At 43.8% G+C, this 18,564-nt stretch overlaps 1 long non-coding RNA gene across 2 annotated transcripts, besides 1 other annotated feature; it reads right to left on the bottom strand.

Moving 5' to 3' along the window:
• Positions 1-1,364: 1,364 nt before the first annotated feature.
• On the bottom strand, positions 1,365-18,089 carry LOC105371980 (uncharacterized). 2 transcript variants are annotated; one of them, XR_001753550.2, is made up of 3 exons: positions 17,686-18,089; positions 16,310-16,448; positions 1,365-1,661 (listed from the first exon to the last, which is right to left on the bottom strand). It is a non-coding gene; the product is annotated as an uncharacterized LOC105371980 (long non-coding RNA). The 2 variants fall into 2 exon arrangements; XR_935130.3 differs by lacking the exon at positions 1,365-1,661 and adding an exon at positions 12,409-15,017.
• Positions 4,696-5,643: an enhancer, noted in NCBI's record as "H3K4me1 hESC enhancer chr18:9416837-9417784 (GRCh37/hg19 assembly coordinates)". NCBI's record gives its function as "activates a minimal SCP1, AML or CMV promoter by ChIP-STARR-seq in primed H9 embryonic stem cells {active_cell/tissue: H9 hESC(primed)}" and the evidence as "EXISTENCE:reporter gene assay evidence [ECO:0000049][PMID:30033119]".
• Positions 18,090-18,564: the final 475 nt, after the last annotated feature.

The raw sequence follows: 18,564 nt of genomic DNA, 5'->3' as shown, positions 1-18,564 counted from the left end.
ATGTTCACTGCCCCAACACTTCACCACTATTTTGTTTTGTTTTTCTTATTAATATAAGAAGACAGGAATGTCAGGCCTCTGAACCCAAGATAAGCCATCATAACCCCTATGGCCTGCACGTATACATCCAGATGGCCTGGAGCAACTGAGGAACCACAAAAGATGACATTCCACCATTGTGATTTGTTCCTGCCTGACCCCAACTAATCAATCGACCCTGTGACATTTCCCTCCCCACCTCCCACCCGCCCCAATGAGTCTCATGATCTCCCCACTCTGTACCTTGTGACCTCCGCCCCTGCCAGCAAGAGATAACCACCTTTAACTGTAATTTTCCGTTACCTACCCAAATCCCATAAAACTGCTCCACCCTTATCTCCCTTTGCTGACTCTCTTTTCGGACTCAGTCCATTTGCACCCAACTGAAATAAACAGCCTTGTTGCTCATACAAAGCCTCTTGGTGGACTCTCTTCACATGGACGCGTGTGACAGGACTCTGTTCTGAGCTGCTCACTGGGGGCAGGTTGCCTTCTGCTCAGGAGGCATTTGTGCAGCACTGCAGTTTATAAGGTGCCTTCACATCCAACATTTCACTGTTCCTCCTCCTTTAGGGTGAATATTTATAACCCTCATTTTGCATAAAATAAATGAGATTCAGGCATCCCAAGTGACCAGCCCAAGGATCTGCAGTCATTAAGGAGCAGAGCTAGGACTAAATGATGGTCTGGCCCCCGAGCCCAGAGCTCCTCCTCACAGAATATCTGGCCAAGTATAAACCGGGTAAATATCCCTATTTAATGTGAATATTTAAAATTGGACCACTCTTTTGGAAGCTCATAAGCACAGTATGTGTTTGTCCTGATACCAATTTTAATTTAGTAATTTTGGAAAGGGCATTTCAGGCAGAGGGGATAAGCCGAGTGTGTGTGGAGTTACAAGCAGTTTACGTATCTGGAGCATGAAATGGGAGTCAGGCAGGGGTGGGAGAGGAAGCTCGAGGGTGGGCGGTAGCCAAGGGTTTACATATCCTGAGAAGAGCTTGGATTTTACACACTTGGGAGGAGACGAGAAGTGACTATTACTTTTAAGCAAGGAATAATATGACATAGCTGCATTTTACAAAGGTCACTGGGGTAGCTGTGAGGACAATGGATGGAAAGTGCCAAGCACAGAGGCAGAAGGACCTGCTAGGTGGCTGTGCATGGGTCAGGGAGCCATGGGGAGAAAGTGGGGTTCGAGGGAAGGGAGGGAAGGAATCCTGGCTCAAGGTCCCTGCCTACCAGAGAGACCACGGGAAAGACAGATTTATGTACATGTACATCTACACCTAGTCTTACAGTGCTAATTAGCAGATGAAGCATTGTTTTCTAGTTTAATTTTTTTATTGAAAAAAATGTTGAGATAATGAACATACAACAAAATGCATAGGTATTAAGTGTGCAGCCCAATGGGTTTTGACAATTGTGTAACCTGTGTAGCCACCAGGACGTGATACATTAAAGTGCTTTTGGCTGACAGCTAACTCCAGGTAGGGACACTATGAGAAGGGAACAACTTTTTCTCTCTCTTTTTCTGCCATGTACCTAAGGCCCGTTGCTATGGAACAATGCCAGCATTACACCTTCTGATATCTTCATCTTCTCCAATCTCTGGCGTGACCCTGGAGAAATTATGAAAGAAGAAAGGGCAGGAATAAAGATGGACTGAGCACCAGTGTGAACTGTACGCCAGTGATTATGAGTACCAAGGCCATAACCTCCCAGCCTCATAGCCAGACAATGACATGGGAACAAATGGCTTCATTTTGTGGGTGGAGAACTTGAGCCTCAGAGGTCATATGTATTGTCAGGCAAAGCCAAAAAAGTGACTTACTGACCACCAAGAATGAACAGCTAGAGCTCAAACTACAATGGACGTTTCTTAGAAACTCCTAATTCCAAATGTGTTCACTCCAGACAAGGATCTTGGACATAGCGACAAAGTAGCATTGGCCACATCCAATGAGAACAGCCATCAGGACAGAGGCCAGCCTTGTAGCTGGAGCTTGGTGAGGTCAACATAGGTCAGAGGGAGAGGCCAGCACACAGCTCTCTCAGGAACACCACTGGGCTATGGGAGGATCGAGAGACAGATGGTGCCTCCACAAGAGGCGTGGATCCAGGACTCTGGAGGGCCTGGGGCTCCCCAAGTGAGGGTCCTTGGGTGCAAGACTGGGGTAACACTGATGCACCTCTCGGCTGTAGCCACCACTGAAACATGCTTTGGGAGCAGATGTTTGAAGCCACAGGAATGTGATCTGTGCCATTGTAGGCATGATGTGTCAAAAATGTGGTTTGAAAGGCCCATATTTCTTGAAAGCCCTGTGAGATGGTTCAGTAGAGATGCAGGGTCATCTTCACTTGAGTTATACCAAAGTGCTCAGAGTTTCTGTTTGGTTTTTTTATTTTGATGACAAACTTGCTGTTTTAAAAATGCCACAGAATGGCCAGGCACAGTGGCTCATGCCTGTAATCCAAGCACTCTGGGAGGCCAAGGCAGGCAGATCACAAGGTCAGGAGTTCAAGACCAGCCTGGCCAACATGGCAAAACCCTGTCTCTACTAAAAATACAAAAATTAGCTGGGCATGGTGGCAGACATCTGTAGTCCCAGCTACTGGGGAGGCTGAGGCAGGAGTATTGCTTGAACCCAGGAGGCGGATGTTGCAGTGAGCTGAGATTGCGCCACTGCACTCCAGCCTGAGCAACAGAGTGAGACGCCATATCAAAAAAAAAAAAAAGCCACAGAACAAATAAAACTGTGTTATGCTTCATGCTTTTTGGTGGCTCACTTCATGTTCTTTTGACAGTTCCAGTATGTTTCTATTGAAAAATTGTGTTTGGCTCACTGCTGGAACTCACCAAGGGCCTGCTGGACGGGCAAGAAAAACCCAGGGCAGGGGCCAGGTGGGCTCCTGGGAAGGCAGTGGACCTGAAGGTTTCATTTGACTCTGCAGCGGGTTTCTGTGCCGGATGACATTCTTTCAGTAAGGCTGGCAGCAAATTGGACTTCACTATGGTGATGATAGCTGTTCAGAGGTTTGGGTACCTTGCAAGGAAATCCTATAAAGTTCTAATAATATTATGAGAATGCTCACAATATATTGTCAAGTTAAAAAAAAAAGTAAGTTACAATACAGCATTGCAGTTAGATCCACTATTGGAAGAAAGAGTATATAGTCACCTTTGTATACAGAAAAAAAAGGCTAAGGAAGGCCAGATGTGGTGGCTCACGCCTGTAATCCCAGCACTGTGGAAAGCCAAGGTGGGCAGATCACTTGAGTCCAGGAGCTCGAGACCAGCCTGGGCAACACAGCCAAATCCTGTCTCTACAAAAAATATAAAAAATCACCTGTAGTTGCAGCTGCTCGTGAGGCTGAGGTGGGAGGATCATTTGAGTTCAGGGGGTGGAGGTTGCAATGAGTCAAGATTGTGCCACTGCATTTCAGCCTGGGTGACAGCAAGACCCTGTCTCAAAAAAGAAAAGGCTAGAGAAACATGATATTACTTAGGTTTTAAGGCTGTCATGAACTAACAGAGACTCACTGAAATTCCTCAAGAGTGGAGAGGCTCATTGAGGGGAAACACCTGCACAATGATAAGGAAAAGCCACGAATAGTCAGGACTGAAGATTACTCTGGAATCAAGGCAGGTCTAGAGGCCTCAGAAGGAGCCTGTGTGATGGCTTTGCTCTGCTCTGTGGCTGACCAGCTTCCTCACCTTTCTGGATTGTTTCTCTTGCTCACAGCTTCTACTTAGATTTTCTTCCCTTCACAATTTTGGCCTGCACAGGACCTGGCAGGGCCACCCTGGCCCTCCTAGTACAACTGGAATCTTTCAGCTGAGGTCCTGCTTCTGGTCTTGTCATTCTCCCAGGGGCTTCTGGTTCCAACACCCACAAGGGAATATCCATGGCCCACCTGTGTTTGTGCCCAGCCTCATGAACAGCCCAGGCTATGGGACTGTCTTGGGATACCTGTGCTCCCAGCCCAATTAGCCAGGCAGTGTGGGTTACTTGGTGTTAGCCTGGCAGTGCCGGTGGCCTGGACATGGGAGTGGGGCCCCTTAAAAGAAAGAGCTGGCAGTGTCCCCACCATAAGTAATAAAGATAAGAAACACAACGAAAACCTGAATGGTAGAAGAGGATGCAGTTCCACGCTGGTGAACAGGGGCGCCCCACCTTGTGCAGCCCGAGGCTGTCTGTGCCTGGCCCAGAGCAGAGCCTGCCCCGCCTGCCAGGCCTGCCTGCTCACTGCTCCTGGTTCCCAGCAGAAATATCTGGATTTGCCAAATGATTAAATCATGGGTGGTTGTTTTTCAGTCCATCATACAGACCCTTATCATGGGGAGAATCAAGCATTAAATGAAAATAGTTTTTTCCTTTCCCCACCTTCAGTAGAAGTTTTTCTTTTTATCTGGAAATCAAAGAGAGGGCCGGGTACAGTGGCTCTTGCCTGTAATCCTAGCACTTTGGGAGGCCAAAGCGGGTGGATTGCCTGAGCTCAGGAGTTCAAGACCAGCCTAGGCAATAATGCAAACCCTGTCTCTAATAAAAATATTTAAAAATCAGCCAGGCATGGTGGCAGACGCCGGTAATCCCAGCTATTTTGGAGGTTGAGGCATTTGAATTGCTTGAACCTGGGAGGTGGAGGTTGCAGTGAGTCGAGATCAGGCCAGGGCAGTCCAGCTGCTTGGGCGACAGAGCGAGACTCTGTCTCTTAAAAAAGGGAAAAAAGGAAAAAAAAAAAAGAGCAATCAAAGAGAGGAGGAGGAGAGTCTCTGATAAAGGCACGGACATCAGGAGCTCCATGGGGTGCGAAGGGCCCTCCTTCACGGACACTCCTCCATCTGCCAGAGAAGGCAGCAGCTCTGCTGTCTGAATTTTGTCTTCAGAATTGCTGAACACCTGCACTGCTTGAATTTCATTCAAGATTCCTAGTCAGTAGGAATGTGTTCTTTCAAGAGGTCAGATTAATTTCTGGAGCCTCAGAGCGTGAACACGCCTGGCACCCTGCCACTGGCCCCAGGGGTGGCCGGCGTGGCGGTGCTCTGGGCGCTGTTGGAATGAGCTCTTTTGTCCTACAGTCTGTGCTTGTGTAGAATGGGTCCTCAGAGGCAATCTGGTATGTCTGTTCAGAATAGTCACAAAACGGAGAGTTGTAAACACTCTGATAGACAAGTTCGCTTTAATAAATTAACAGTCACCTTTAGATGATTACATGGCTAAGGCTCCCTCCTCCTCATCCGGGAGTGCTGGCCCTGCCAAACCTATCGGACTCTGTATAGCTGGCAACTGCAAGGAAATTCCAAGTCGGGAATGTAATGGAGGCCCTGTGATGGGGGCAGGAGGCACGGGGGACAGAGGAAAGCCATGCAGAGAAGCCGTTTCACACATTAGAAACGTGGCAACAGATGAGAGCCGTTTGTTAGTGTGTTTTATGTGATTAAAATACACTCTTCAAAACTATTCTCATGTAATTTAAAAACCAAGGCTTGGAGTTCCTTGCTGGTATTCTTACTGGTTCTGATTAGTTTAAGGGAGCTGGAATGCAGCTGTTTGAATGCTATGAACTGAATTTGCACTCTTGAACTCCTCTATAAGGAAAAAGAAGGAAATTTCATGGTAGGAGAAGGCACAAACTATAGGATTATCTGTCCTGAAATTTTCCTGCTCCAACCTAAGCCCCTCTGTGGAAACTATTTGGTAGAGTTTGAGAACAGAATCTGTCGTTGTCCATCCAAAACATGATAGATCAGCAGCAGTGGGAGTTTCCAGTTAGGGCAACAGCGTTTTGTTCCCACAGCGTGCTAACATTTTCATCAGAAACTGAGTATCTAGACCTTCATATGAACCCATTTTCTGGGCACTGATAACCAAAGTGCTGCAAAATTGTGAGGACCTTTCTTTCAGAAGTCTCCTCCTCTTTTTTTTTTTTTTTTTTCTATTTTTTTTCTGAGACAGTCTCACTCTTTTGCCCAGGCTGGAGTGCAGTGACGTGATCTTGACTCACTGCAACCTCCACCTCCCAGGTTCAAGTGATTCTCAAGCCTCAGCCTCCCGAGTAGCTGGGACTACAGGTCCCAGAGCCACCATGCCCCGCTAATTTTTGTATTTTTAGTAAAGACGGGGCTTTGCCATGTTGGCCAGGCTGGGCTCAAACTCCTGGCCTCAAGTGATCCATCCGCCTCAGCCTCCCAAAGTGCTGGCATTACAGGTTTGAGCCACTGCGCCCAGCCAAGAAGTCTCTTCCTCTTTGAAGGGCCTCCCCAGCAGCATTAGGGGCCTCTCCTTCCAGCTCCCATGGAACCCCTATCCTGGCCCTTCACACAGCTGTCCTGGTTTTTAATGTCATTCTCTCCCATTTAACCTGATTTTTTTAGGAAAAAAGTTTTAAGATAAAAGTGTCTTTTTAGTTTAAATGTTTACTTTTTGAAAAGGTAGTACATTCTCATGGCTCAAAACTCAAAGCTACAGGCCTGGTGCAGTGGCTCACACCTGTAATCCCAGCACTTTGGGAGGCCGAGGCGGGAGGATCACTTTAGGTCAGGGGTTTGAGAACAGCTTGGCCCACATGGTGAAACCCCGTCTCTACTAAAAATACAAAAATTAGCTGGGCGTGGTGGCATGTGCCTCTAATCCCAGCTACCGGGGAGGCTGAGGCAGGAGAATCACGTGAATCCAGGAGGTGGAGGCTGCAGTGAGCCAAGATTGCGCCACTGCACTCCAGCCTAGGTGACAAAATGAGACTCCATCTCAAAAAAATAAAAATCAAAGCTACAAAAGGGTGCACTGTGTAAAGTCTCTTCCTACGCATGCCTGTTTCTCAGCTCCCGTTTTCCCTCCCTGGAGGCAGCCAGTGTTTTTATTTTCTTGTGAATTCTTCCAGGTATCTTATTTGCATACAAGCAAATATGTACACAATTTTTTCTCTTTTTCTTGTTTTAAACAAATGCCAGACTATATGTGTACATACTTCTGTACCTTGTTTTTTTCTGTTAACAATATTTCTTAAGAGATAATTTCTATCCATCCATCATATTCCATTATAAGAATGTATATAATTTTATTAGCTACCATGGTTGGACATTTAGGTCCAAAATTTTGCCATGGCCGGACATGGTGCCTCATGCCTGTAATCCTAGTACTTCGGGAGGCCAACGCAGGTGGATCACCTGAGGTCAGGCATTTGAGACCAGTATGGCCAACATGGTGAAACCCCATCTCTGCTAAAAACACAAAAAAAATTTAGCCAGGCATGGTGGCACGTGCTTGTAATCCCAGCTACTCAGGAGGCTGAGGCAGGAGAATCGCTTGAACCCAGGAGGTGGAGGTTGCAGTGAGCCAAGATCACGCCACTGCACTCTAGCATAAGTGACAAGAGTGAAACTCTGTCTCAAAAATAAAGAAAGAAAGAAAAAAGAAAAAAGAAACAACAACAACAACGAAATTTTGCCATGACGATGCCACAATGGATCATTTCTCACAGTGTAAGATGATTCTACAGGATCAGCTCCTAGACTTGAAACCGCTGGGTCAACGCGTATATGCCAAGGCACCCCTCTCCCCACAGAGGCTGTGGAAAGTTACATTCCCATAAACAGTGGGACCGCTTCCCACAACCTCCCCTAGGTTAGGCGTTATTTGATGATTGTCAATTTGACAGATGAGAAATGTTGATCACTGTCAATTTGATAGATGAAAAATGGCATCTCCATCTTTTTATTCTGTGTCCCTGTTCTAATTTGCAGTTCTCACATTTTGAGAAAGGTGGAGAATCTTATGTGTTTAATGGCCATTGGCATTTCCTGGTCTGTGACTAGTCTATCTATTTTTATAAATCAGGTTGTTCTTTATCTTACTGACTTATCAAGAATATATTGTACAATTTCTCATTTGTCATTTTCATTGTTTAGGGTGTGTTTTTCATTCCCAAATTAAAATTTTAGTTTTATAGTAAAATGTATCAATCCTCTCTAAAAGCCAATAAATGCTTTTAGATTTTTTAAAATTGTAATTCAAAAGGCCTTTCCCACATAGAGACTAAAAAAGTTTTCTCTTTTTTGGGTATTTTGTGGTTTAGTTTTTTGCATTGAAATGTTTGATTGATATTGAGATTTATGTTGGTACAAGGTGTGAGGTATGATTCCAGCTTCATTGTCTTTCAGGTGGTTACCCAGTCATTCCCACATTTATTTAATTACAGTTCCCACTGGTGTGCAGGACCACTTTATCTTATACCTCATGCTTTATGCATTTGGAACTATTTCTATACTTATCTCTACCATAAAAATGTCTGTTCATATTAATTACTATAGCATTTATAACATGTTTTAATATCCCTCACCTGATTTTAAATGCATTTTGTAAGCAATTTATTATTGGTGTTCTTCTGGATGCAACAACAGAAATAGATTCTTAAGCAAGAAAGCACATTTAATTGGAAGATTTTTGTGGGAAGTCTAAGAATCAAATTGGGGAGGACAAAGAGAAGATCAGCTCCAGAGAATCTGTTGGTAGAACTCTTCTCCAGAATGGTGTCATTAAGTGACTGGCCTCCTGGGTAACTGTCTTCAAGTTACACATTCTCGAGACAGAGATGAGCTGTCTTGGCTTAGGTCAAGTGAATGTCTTGATCCCAGCTGTGCTGGGATGCAGGGTTGTTACAGCATAGAAGAGGCCACTGAGAGGTCATAGTGAGAAGGAAGTTGCTCCAGCTAATGTCTACTACACACTTGGAATCTTGCCACCCTTCTTCTCTGAATTCCTGACATTGCTAATATATAATGTATTTATATTGAAAAGTAAATGTTCAGATGTCCCTAGTATTTCAGCAGACTAGATTGCCTGGGAAAGTTCCAGATAAAAAAATAATAAGAAATGCCGACAAAATATAACCAAATATATATATTTTTTTGAGATAGGGTCTTGCTCTATTGCCCAGGATGGAGTGCAGTGGCATCATCATAGCTCACTACAGCCTCAAATACCTGGAATCAAGCAATCCTCCCACCTTAACCTCCTGAATAGCTAGGACTACAAGGCATGTGCAACCACACCTGGCTAATTTTATTTTTTCTAGAGATGATGTCTCACTATGTTGTCCAGACTGGTCTTAAACTCATGGACTCAATTGATCCTCATGCCTCACTCTCCCAAAGGGCTGGGACTACAGGCATGGCATGAGCCATCTCACCCAGCCCCAAACCTTTTTTTTTTTCTTTTAATATGCAGTTGGGCTTGTAAATAATTAAGGAAATTCCCCAGATTAAGAAAAGAAAGAAGTCTGATGCTGAAGCTGAAAGTCAGAATGACACTGTTACGAGGCGTTGGCCTGTGGAAGGTAGAGATTGTTGTTTAGAGGCCTTCTCTCACCTCCCATGGAGCTGAGATTCTTGATAAAAGGGTGGACTGGAAAAAATTCTCTTTCTGACAATAATAGAACAAATGACAAACAACTGTGTTGGTATGGCTCTGGATAGAGCAAATGTTTCCCTGAAAGTTCACGATCATGAAAGTTCATGCCTTCATGCTATTCTGGAGTTCAAAAATGTATCCTACCAATTTATACTGACTCCTGTAAACTGAGAAATTAACATCAAGGGTTTCTGGGCTGGTAACCCCCTGAAACAGCTGTAGAAGCAAATAAAAATCCTCCTAAAAACTATATATCCACAGCTCAAGTCTCCTAGAAATTACCCAGACAAAGCCCCACTGAGCACAAGCTTACACTCCAAAAGTATAAAACACGTGGAAAGAGGCCACCATACGTACACTAGAAATTAAAACTTTAGCCATTGGAGTCAAAGACATCAGAATGCTACTCTGCCAAAGTCTTTAGCTACTATAAAATCATCTCTGGGTATCATTACTGCCTTAGTGACTACCGATTTCATTTGACCAGCAACTCATAAACACACATTTATCGTGCTGAGAGAGCCTCAGAATAAAATTGCCCCGCTGATAAAACATTTAGAAATGCCCACAGTTTCCCGTCAGTAATTGTCTGTACCCCACAACCAATTTAGGCACAGTCTACCAATTTATGCTTTACCCCTCAAATACCAATAGTAATGGATTTTAAAAGTTTAATTATCAACACCCTAATTGATTCTCTCAAAAACAACAACAACAACAAAAACCCAAACTGGAAGAATCTACTAGCAGTATCCAGAAGAAAATCTCTGCAAAAATCCAGTAGAAAAATCCACTTAAATAAGGGGCAAATTCAAATTAGTTAAGAAAACACAGAACATAATCTTGGACTCTATCCAAAGGCAGTGAATACATGATTAGACTCACATCAAATAGAAGGAACATTAAACACAATTTCTTGTATTCTATGCTGAGAACTTAAAAATCAGTAATCCTTTTTCATAGGTTCCCTGAATCTCAAGTATTGGACCTGATAGAGTTCTTACATTTTTGGTTGCCCATTTTTAGTACCTAGTATGTAACTGGATAAAGGAAATAAAAAACTGGCCAGGCGCGGTGGCTCACGCCTGTAATTCCAGCACTTTGGGAGGCAAAGGCAGGCGGAGCACCTGAGGTCAGGAGTTCGAGACCAGCCTGGCCAACATGGCAAAACCCCATCTCTACTAAAAATACAAAATTAGCTGGGCACGGTGGCACATGCCTGTAATCCCAGCTACTCAGGAGGCTGAGGCTTGAGAATCACTTGAACCTGGGAGTCGGAGGTTGCGGTGAGCCGAGATCGCGCCTTTGTACTCCAGCCTGGGCAACAAGAGTGAAACTCCGTCACAAACAAACAAACAAACAAAACTATAGAAAATTATTATTGCATTACTCATTTATGAATTATGAATAGCTTGGAATAATAGTACAACATGTAGCAATTGAGGAATAAATCATTGTTTATGGATGATATTTATCATGCCCTTTATTAAAACTCAAAATACATTTTTTATCCTAAGAAAATATGTTACATACTTGAGATTCGAACTGGCCTTCATAGATGTTCTTTTCATATTTTAGCTAAAAGAATACTTCTTCTTTTTTTGTCTTTTTTTTTTGAGACATGGTCTAACTCTGTCCCCCAGGCTGGTGTGCAGTGACATGATCACTGCTCACTGCAGCCTCAACTGCCCAGGCTCAAGTGATCCTCCTGCCTCAGCCTCCTAAGTAACTGGGACTACAGATGTGCACCACCACATCCAGTTAATCTTTTACTTTTTGTAGAGGCGTAGTCCTACTATGTTGCCCAGGCTGGTCATAAACTCTTGGGCTCAAGTGATCCTCCTGCCTCAACCTCCCAAAGTGCTGGGATTATAAGCATGAGCCACTAAACCTGACCAGGACTACACCTTGACTGATTTACCAGATTACATTAGGAAGAATTTTTAACATGTCAGACCAGAAAAAAATTGTGAGGCCTCAAATAAACAATATTTAAATATTTCTAACACGTGGATTTCCAGTTGTTCTAGTTTGTGTGGAAGTGGGTTTCTAAAGAGAACACTTAATAAAGCTGAAACTTTTTCTGAAGCATATCTAGTGAAGACCTTTAGCTTTTACTTGTGCTTTATCCTAAGCCCTTTTTCTGCTAATCTCTGTATTTCTTTTGGGGATCCACTGCTCCCCCACTCTGTCCCCATGACTTGGGAGGATTGACTTCCAGTCTGGGCCAGTGGGAGTCTTATCTGGGACTCCTAGCTATCTGAATAGTGATGATCTCTTCCTGCTGAGATTGACATGTGAGCCTGGTGTAGTGGAGGGCTCCCTGAGATTATGGCCATGCAGAGTACCAAAGAGCTGCAAGCAAGAGACCATTTCCTGCACTTGGACTTGCCTAAAGCCATGGTATCCCGAGGCTTTCAGGTATCTGAGCCTTCTCCCCAGTATTTTCTTTTTTTTTTTTTTCACCTGAGCTAGTTTAAATTTGATTTCTGTCATTTGTAACCAAACCTCCCCTATGAGAATACTAAAGGGAGTTCTTTAGGCTGAAATAAAAGGACACTAGATGGTAACCTGAATCCACATGAATAAGTAAAGAGCACTCATAAAGGTAGCTAATGAGATAAACATAAAAGACAGTATCAATATATTTTTTGTTTGTAACTCTTTTTTCCCCACCTATCTGATTTGAAAGACAACTGCATAAAGCAGTAATTATAAGTCTATGTGATGGGCACACAAAGCATAAAGATGTAACTTGTAAGACAATAACATCCCAAAGGAGGAGAGAGGAAATGGAGATACATAGAAACAAAGTTCTTGCATACAACTGAAATTAAATGGTAGTAATCAAAACTAGATTGTTATAACTTAAGATGTTAATCATAATCCCCAGGGCAACTGCTCAGAAAATAACTTATAAGAACACATAGTAAAAGAAATGACAAGAGAATTAAAATGGTACATGACAAAATGTCTTTAATGTAAAGAAGAAAGGGGCAGTAAAGGAGAAATAGAAAAAAAAGACAAAAGACAAATAGCAAACACAAAGCAAAATAGCAGATATAAATCCTTCCTTATCAATAATTACATTAAAAGTAATGGATTAAAATTTCTGTAATTAAAAGGCAGAGATTGGTAGCATGGATTAGAAAACATGATCCAACCATATGGTGCCCACAAGAGATACACTTTAGAGTCAAAGATATAAATAGGTTAAAAGTAAGAAGATATAAAAAGACATACCATGCAAAGAGTAAACAAAAGAGAGCTGAAGTGGTTATACTAATATCAAACAAAATAGTTTTTAAGGTACTAATTGCTACTAGAGACAAAGATATTTTATAATTATAAAAGGGTCATTCATCAAGAAGATTTAAGAATTATATACATATATGCACCTAACAAGAGCTCCAGAATATATTAAGCAAAAACTGACGTAATTGAAGGGAGAAATAGACAATACAACAATAATAGTTGGAAACTGCAATACCCAATTGTCAATAATGTGTAGAACGACCAGACAGGAGATCAATAAGATAATAAGTGACCAAATGTGTTAACATGGTATAAGTCCTGTTATACCACGTTACCAGATCTGTGCTGTCTACTAGCCACACGTGGCTACTGAGCACTTGAAATGTAGCTAGTCCACATTTGGATGTGCTGTTAAACATACACTAGATTTCAAATAATACCAAAACAAGAGAATGAAAAATGTGCCATTGGTAATTTTTATATAAGTTATATGTTAAACTGCTAATTCGGATATATTGGGTTAAAGAAAATATATTATTCAAATTAATTCTACATGTTTCTTTTTACTTTTTTAATGTGGCTACCAGAAAATTTTAAATTACATGTATGATTCACATGTCTTGCTGTCCTGCGAGACTGCTTCAGAAACCAGAGAGAAGAGTCTGTGGTCTATGATTTTAATATGGAAAAATCTCAAGGCTGAGCCTCTTGTTCAGGGATGAGAGTCACTGCAGACTAATCAACGAAGTTTCAACAAACTGGTCCAGTTATGGATTGTATATGGTTTTTGGCTTAAAAGAAATAATTTATTCCACCTTCAAATAGCACAGAGAAACTAGAGAATATTGATCTTTTCTAGAGAAATTCAGCCAAAGAGAGAAATCTAACTGCATTAAATGAGAAATTCTATTACACAGATAAAAAGACCACTATTAACATGTGAAGTTATCCAACACATATATACATCTTCAAAACCAAGAACCTCAGAAATCGCAATTAGCTAACTTCATCTAGATCATTTTAAGTCATGCCCCTTTTGATAATCACGAAACCTCATCCTTCTTTACCTGCCACTCTGTCTAGAATCAGTGCTTTTCTGGCTGTGCCAGGGACTGCCTCTGCACTTTCAAGCTGGACATACAACGTCATTCTGGTGTGGGTATATACAGCCAAGTATCAGGCAATCACAACACGGAGTGATAAACACTATGAATGGCAAGTGTTTAGGATGCTATAGGCACCCATGCATAGTGGAGATGGCTTGGGCCAATCATTCTCCCCTTCTTCATTCTCTCCCTACTTACTAACAATCCTGAATTTTATTCAGTTGCTAATTCCTTGTCACTCTTGCAAACAGTGGTAGCCAATGAGACATAAACAATTGTTGGATGGGCTTCCTGAAGGCTGACTTGACTTGGAGGTATATAATTTTTACACTAATCTCCTTCTTCCTTCTTGGAAAGCAAATATGATGGTTGGGGCTCCAGAAGGCATCTTGAGACCATGAGACAAATTTTAGGACAGCAGAGCAAAAGGAAAGCCTGCTTCCTGGTGACAATGTAGAGCCCCCATTCCAGATCTGGTCTATGTATTTTCAGAATTCAAGTTATGTGAGAACAAACAATCTCTAGTTGTTCAAGCTACAATTACTTCAGGTCTTTATTGTTAGCCATTAAAAAATGAAGGGACCAAATAGGGGTGGAAGGGGAGACTAGGAAAGCTGGGCCTGTGGTCTGCCATGACAAACTCCTGAGAATAAAGGCCCCTGGAAATCCTCAATGGAAACAGGCTTCCATAGAAAGACCTCAAAGTTGTGGCCACTAGTTAGGCAAAGCCATCTGAGATAACTCAAATTCTGCATGGTATTATTTTAGAACAGTTGTATGATTCTTAGAACATGAAAAAAATACAAGGGTCAATTCAATTAGATTCAAAGTTCTTGAACCTGATATTCAAAACAGACTTATTTCCATATTTGAGAATTTCACCAAAGGGTACTTAGAGAAAAAGACAAAAATATGTCTTTTTTTTTTAGACGGAGTCTCACTCTATTGCCCAGGCTGGAGTGCAGTGGCACGTCTCGACTCAGTGCAACCTCTGCCTCCCAGGTTCAAGTGATTCCCTTGCCTCAGCCTCCCGAGTAGCTGGGATTACAGGCACCTGCCATCATGCCTGGCTAATTTTTGTATTTTTGTAGAGATGGGGTTTCACCATGTTGGCCAGGCTGGTCTTGAACTCCTGACCTCAAGTGATCTGCCCGCCTCGGCCTCCCAAAGTGCTGGGATTACAGGCGTGAGCCACCGTGCCCGGCTGAAAAAGACAAAAACATATCTTAAGAATCAAAGATATGCAAAATCCAATCCACTCATTGACCTGGGTGGAAAGGGCAGACTTCTCTGAAAAGTTGGGAAGACGTAGGTAATGTGTATCACTTGGAACGGAGAACAACGTCTCCCTAAACCTGATGCTCCTTCCTGGGTAGGAAATCATTTAGTGTACCATGGGTCTTTCTCTGCCTTTATATTCATTCTGCCTCTGAGAAGAGAAACAACATGACTGGCAAATTTGGGAAGAAAACTGGGCATACTCTTCGTCTTGGTAGTAAATTATCTGTAAAGAGCACGTATTTTGCCCTGCTTGTCCAGGGGCAGGCCCTTCTTGACTTATGTTTTGGGGTGTGTCTGGCTAAATGTTGGCTAAGTCTTGACCTCTAATCTGGTCTTCCTCTATTTCCAAGTTCTCTGGCACCTATTTTACTGAGGCCATAGAAACCTCTGTGACCTGTTTTGCTTAACCAGAACCTGTTTTTCAACCATGAAATGATTTGGAGGATCTGGGATAAAAGACTCAAAACTATATCATTAGTACTATTGTGTTAAGAATGGGCATATTTGAGTATTTTAGAGGATTTGGCTTATTAGAACACAACCTCACAACTCCAATTTAAAATTGGTAAGTGTGAAATTGAATGAGAGTTGATTCTGAGTTGAAATCTTCCTGTTTATGTGCAGTATTGGAAATTTCAACAGGCTCACCTCAATAGTGAGTTTATTAGCTGTTGAAGTACTCGGCAAATACTGAATGAGGGCCCTGTAAAAACGATTATTAGATATATAGTTAGGCTGCTAGAAGAAATATTTGTAAACTGTTTTTAAAAACTTACGGAAGAACTAAGTTTGATTTTGTAAATTATATACATTAAACATTAATTTTAAAAATGAACATTAGTTTCTGTGTAGTGTCTTCTGCAAATAAAATTTGCCCTCAAGGACACCAAAAAAATTCATATCATCATGCACGGTCTTCTTGCTAGGTTGCTAAAGAAGTCCCTTAGTCTCCCACAAAGCCTGCATGGGTCAGCAGTCTAAAAATGGCCTCAGCCACGTGGCTAAAGGTGTATCTGCAATACTGCAAATAGCCCAGTAGAAACCTGGACACCAGGTTGAAGTGTGGGAAGCGGAAGTGTAGGGTAATGATGAAGTTAGGATGCTGCTGAGGAATGTCCTGGGGTCAAAGGCTACACCATTGTGAGCCGCTCAGTGAAAGGCGTGAGGAACGGACGCAGAGGGACAAGTGTCTCAGATTGATGAAACCATACTTACAGGGGGAGTGACAGAGGCTCCAGGGGATGTCCACCTGGACTGCTGAGATGGGCCTAGTGGTGAGCAGGGACATGCTGCCTGGATCTGAGAGGTCTGCTGCACAGTTGACACTTACTTGTCTGAGGGCACTGAGGAGCCACTGTTTAAAGCATATGTAGGTTAAGATTCGCCATCACTCATCCACAGAAGAGCTGGTGCCCATTGAGTGTGAGACATTAGGTGCTGAGGAGCTGTGTTTAGGGCAGTGACAAACCAAAGAAACAAGGTCCCTGCCCTCAAGGGCCCCACAGTCTAAGAGGAGAATGCATGATAAACAAGTAACCGATGAATACTTTTGGAGAGGTGTCTGCTGTTAAAGAAAGCAGACAAATGGGATGGGGGAGTGGGGAGGGGCTGCTCCTTTAGAAGTGGTCAGAGGGCCAGGCACAGTGGCTCATGCCTGTAATCCCAGCATTTTGGGAGGTTGAGGCGGGTGGATCACTTGAACTCAGGAGTTTGAGACCAGCCTGGCCAACACGGCAAAACCCCGTCTCTGTCAAAAATAACAAAAAATTCGCCAGGCATTGTGGTGTGCACCTGTGAACCCAGCTACTTGTGAGGCTGAGGTGAGGAGGATCGCTGAGCCAGGGAGGCGAAGGCTGCAGTGAGCCAAAATGGTGCCACTGCACTCCAGCCTGGGTGACAGACGGAGACCCCATCTCAAAAAAAAAAAAAAAAAAAAAAAAGGGAGGTCAGAGCAAGGAGCCACAATCTGCACAGAAAGCAGGTCCAGCAGGGGAAACAACTCCTGCGACAGCCTGAGGGTGAGAGAGACGGCAGCACGAGCTTGGCCTGCTGAGGCAGGGGTCAGCAGTGATGGGAGTGGGGATAAGACATGAGACAGGAAGAGGAGATGCCAGCCGAGGCTGTGAGACAAGGAGTCTTGGGACACAAATGCAGTCCACAAACCCAGGGCTGCAACGCATTCTGTCTCATTGTTTTCTTGGAATCAAGTAAAATCCGACTCTGAGCCTCATCCCATCCAACACTGGCCAGGAGAGAGGCTCTGCCACCCATCTTGGGACTCACAGAACCCTGGTGGCAAGTCTTGGGGGCTTTGGACAATGAGGGCTGGGCTGCTAATATTTCTAAGTAGAAACCCCTGGAAAGAAGCAACTGCAGGCTCGGGTTTCCCGTGAGTCACGGGCCGAGAGCGCTGGTCTCCACGGTCAAGAGACCTGGGCCTCTGGGACCTACCTTCCTGGCCCCTCTCTCAGGCCCTCAAAGGCCTCATTCTCTCCCTTCCCCTAGCAGAACACCCCGGAGCCAGGGAGGCTTCAGGAAAACAAGAGATAGGTTCTCTGCCCTTGCTCGACTTCCTAGTGGGTAACTCATACCTTTCCGAGGCAGACGAGCGCAACGGCCTTGCTCTTTGCCTAGAACTGGGGGTGGAAGCAGTAATTACCGGTACACGTGTTCTAGAAAGATTACGCTGGCTGCAGAGGGAAGTACCTAAGTTAGACGGGCAGGAAACACATTTCTGCCATAAAGATATTTCGCCGGTGACTGTGCCTAACTTCAGGGGCTATCTTCAGCCCAGTGAGGGAAGTCCTGTCTCCCTGACTGGCGGGGCGCCTGCACTCTCCAGGCGTCATTCGGTGAGTCACAGCGCGGACTCCAGGTTTCCCAGCATTACTGGGAGGGGGCAGAATTCTTTTCCTCTTTGCATCTGCACGGAGAATTCTCATCTCAAAAGCCAAACCTTGGAGTTGTTGCTGACTCCACACTTCAAGCAGACTTTAAAATAAAAGGAGGTAGAACATACTTTTTTTTTTTTTTTTTAATTGAGACGGAGTTTCACTCTTGTGGCCCAGGCTGGAGGGCAGCGGCGCATTCTCGGCTCACTGCAACCTCCGCTTCCCGGCTTCAAGCGAGTCTCCTGCCTCAGCCTCCTGAGTAGCTGGGATTACAGGCACGTGCCACCACACCTGGCTAATTTTTGTATTTTTTAGTAGAGACGGGGTTTCACCACGTTGGCCAGGCTGGTCTCGAACTCCTAACCTCAGGTGATCTGCCCGCCTCCGCCTCCCAAAGTGTTGGGATTACAGGCGTGAGCCACTGCGCCTGGCCCACATTTACTTTTTACTGGTTAGTTAAAGCTCAAAGGTCAAAGAGCTGTAATGGCTAACACCCACCAGCTAATGGCGCTAATGGCATGTCTGCCTGGCTTACTGAGCTCAGTGCCTGCCAGGTCTGGAGCAGCCCCATGGGGCCGG

Source organism: Homo sapiens, chromosome 18 (genome assembly GCF_000001405.40).
Source record: "Homo sapiens chromosome 18, GRCh38.p14 Primary Assembly".
Lineage (NCBI taxonomy): Eukaryota > Metazoa > Chordata > Mammalia > Primates > Hominidae > Homo > Homo sapiens.
This window is presented reverse-complemented; position numbering and strand designations above follow the sequence as displayed.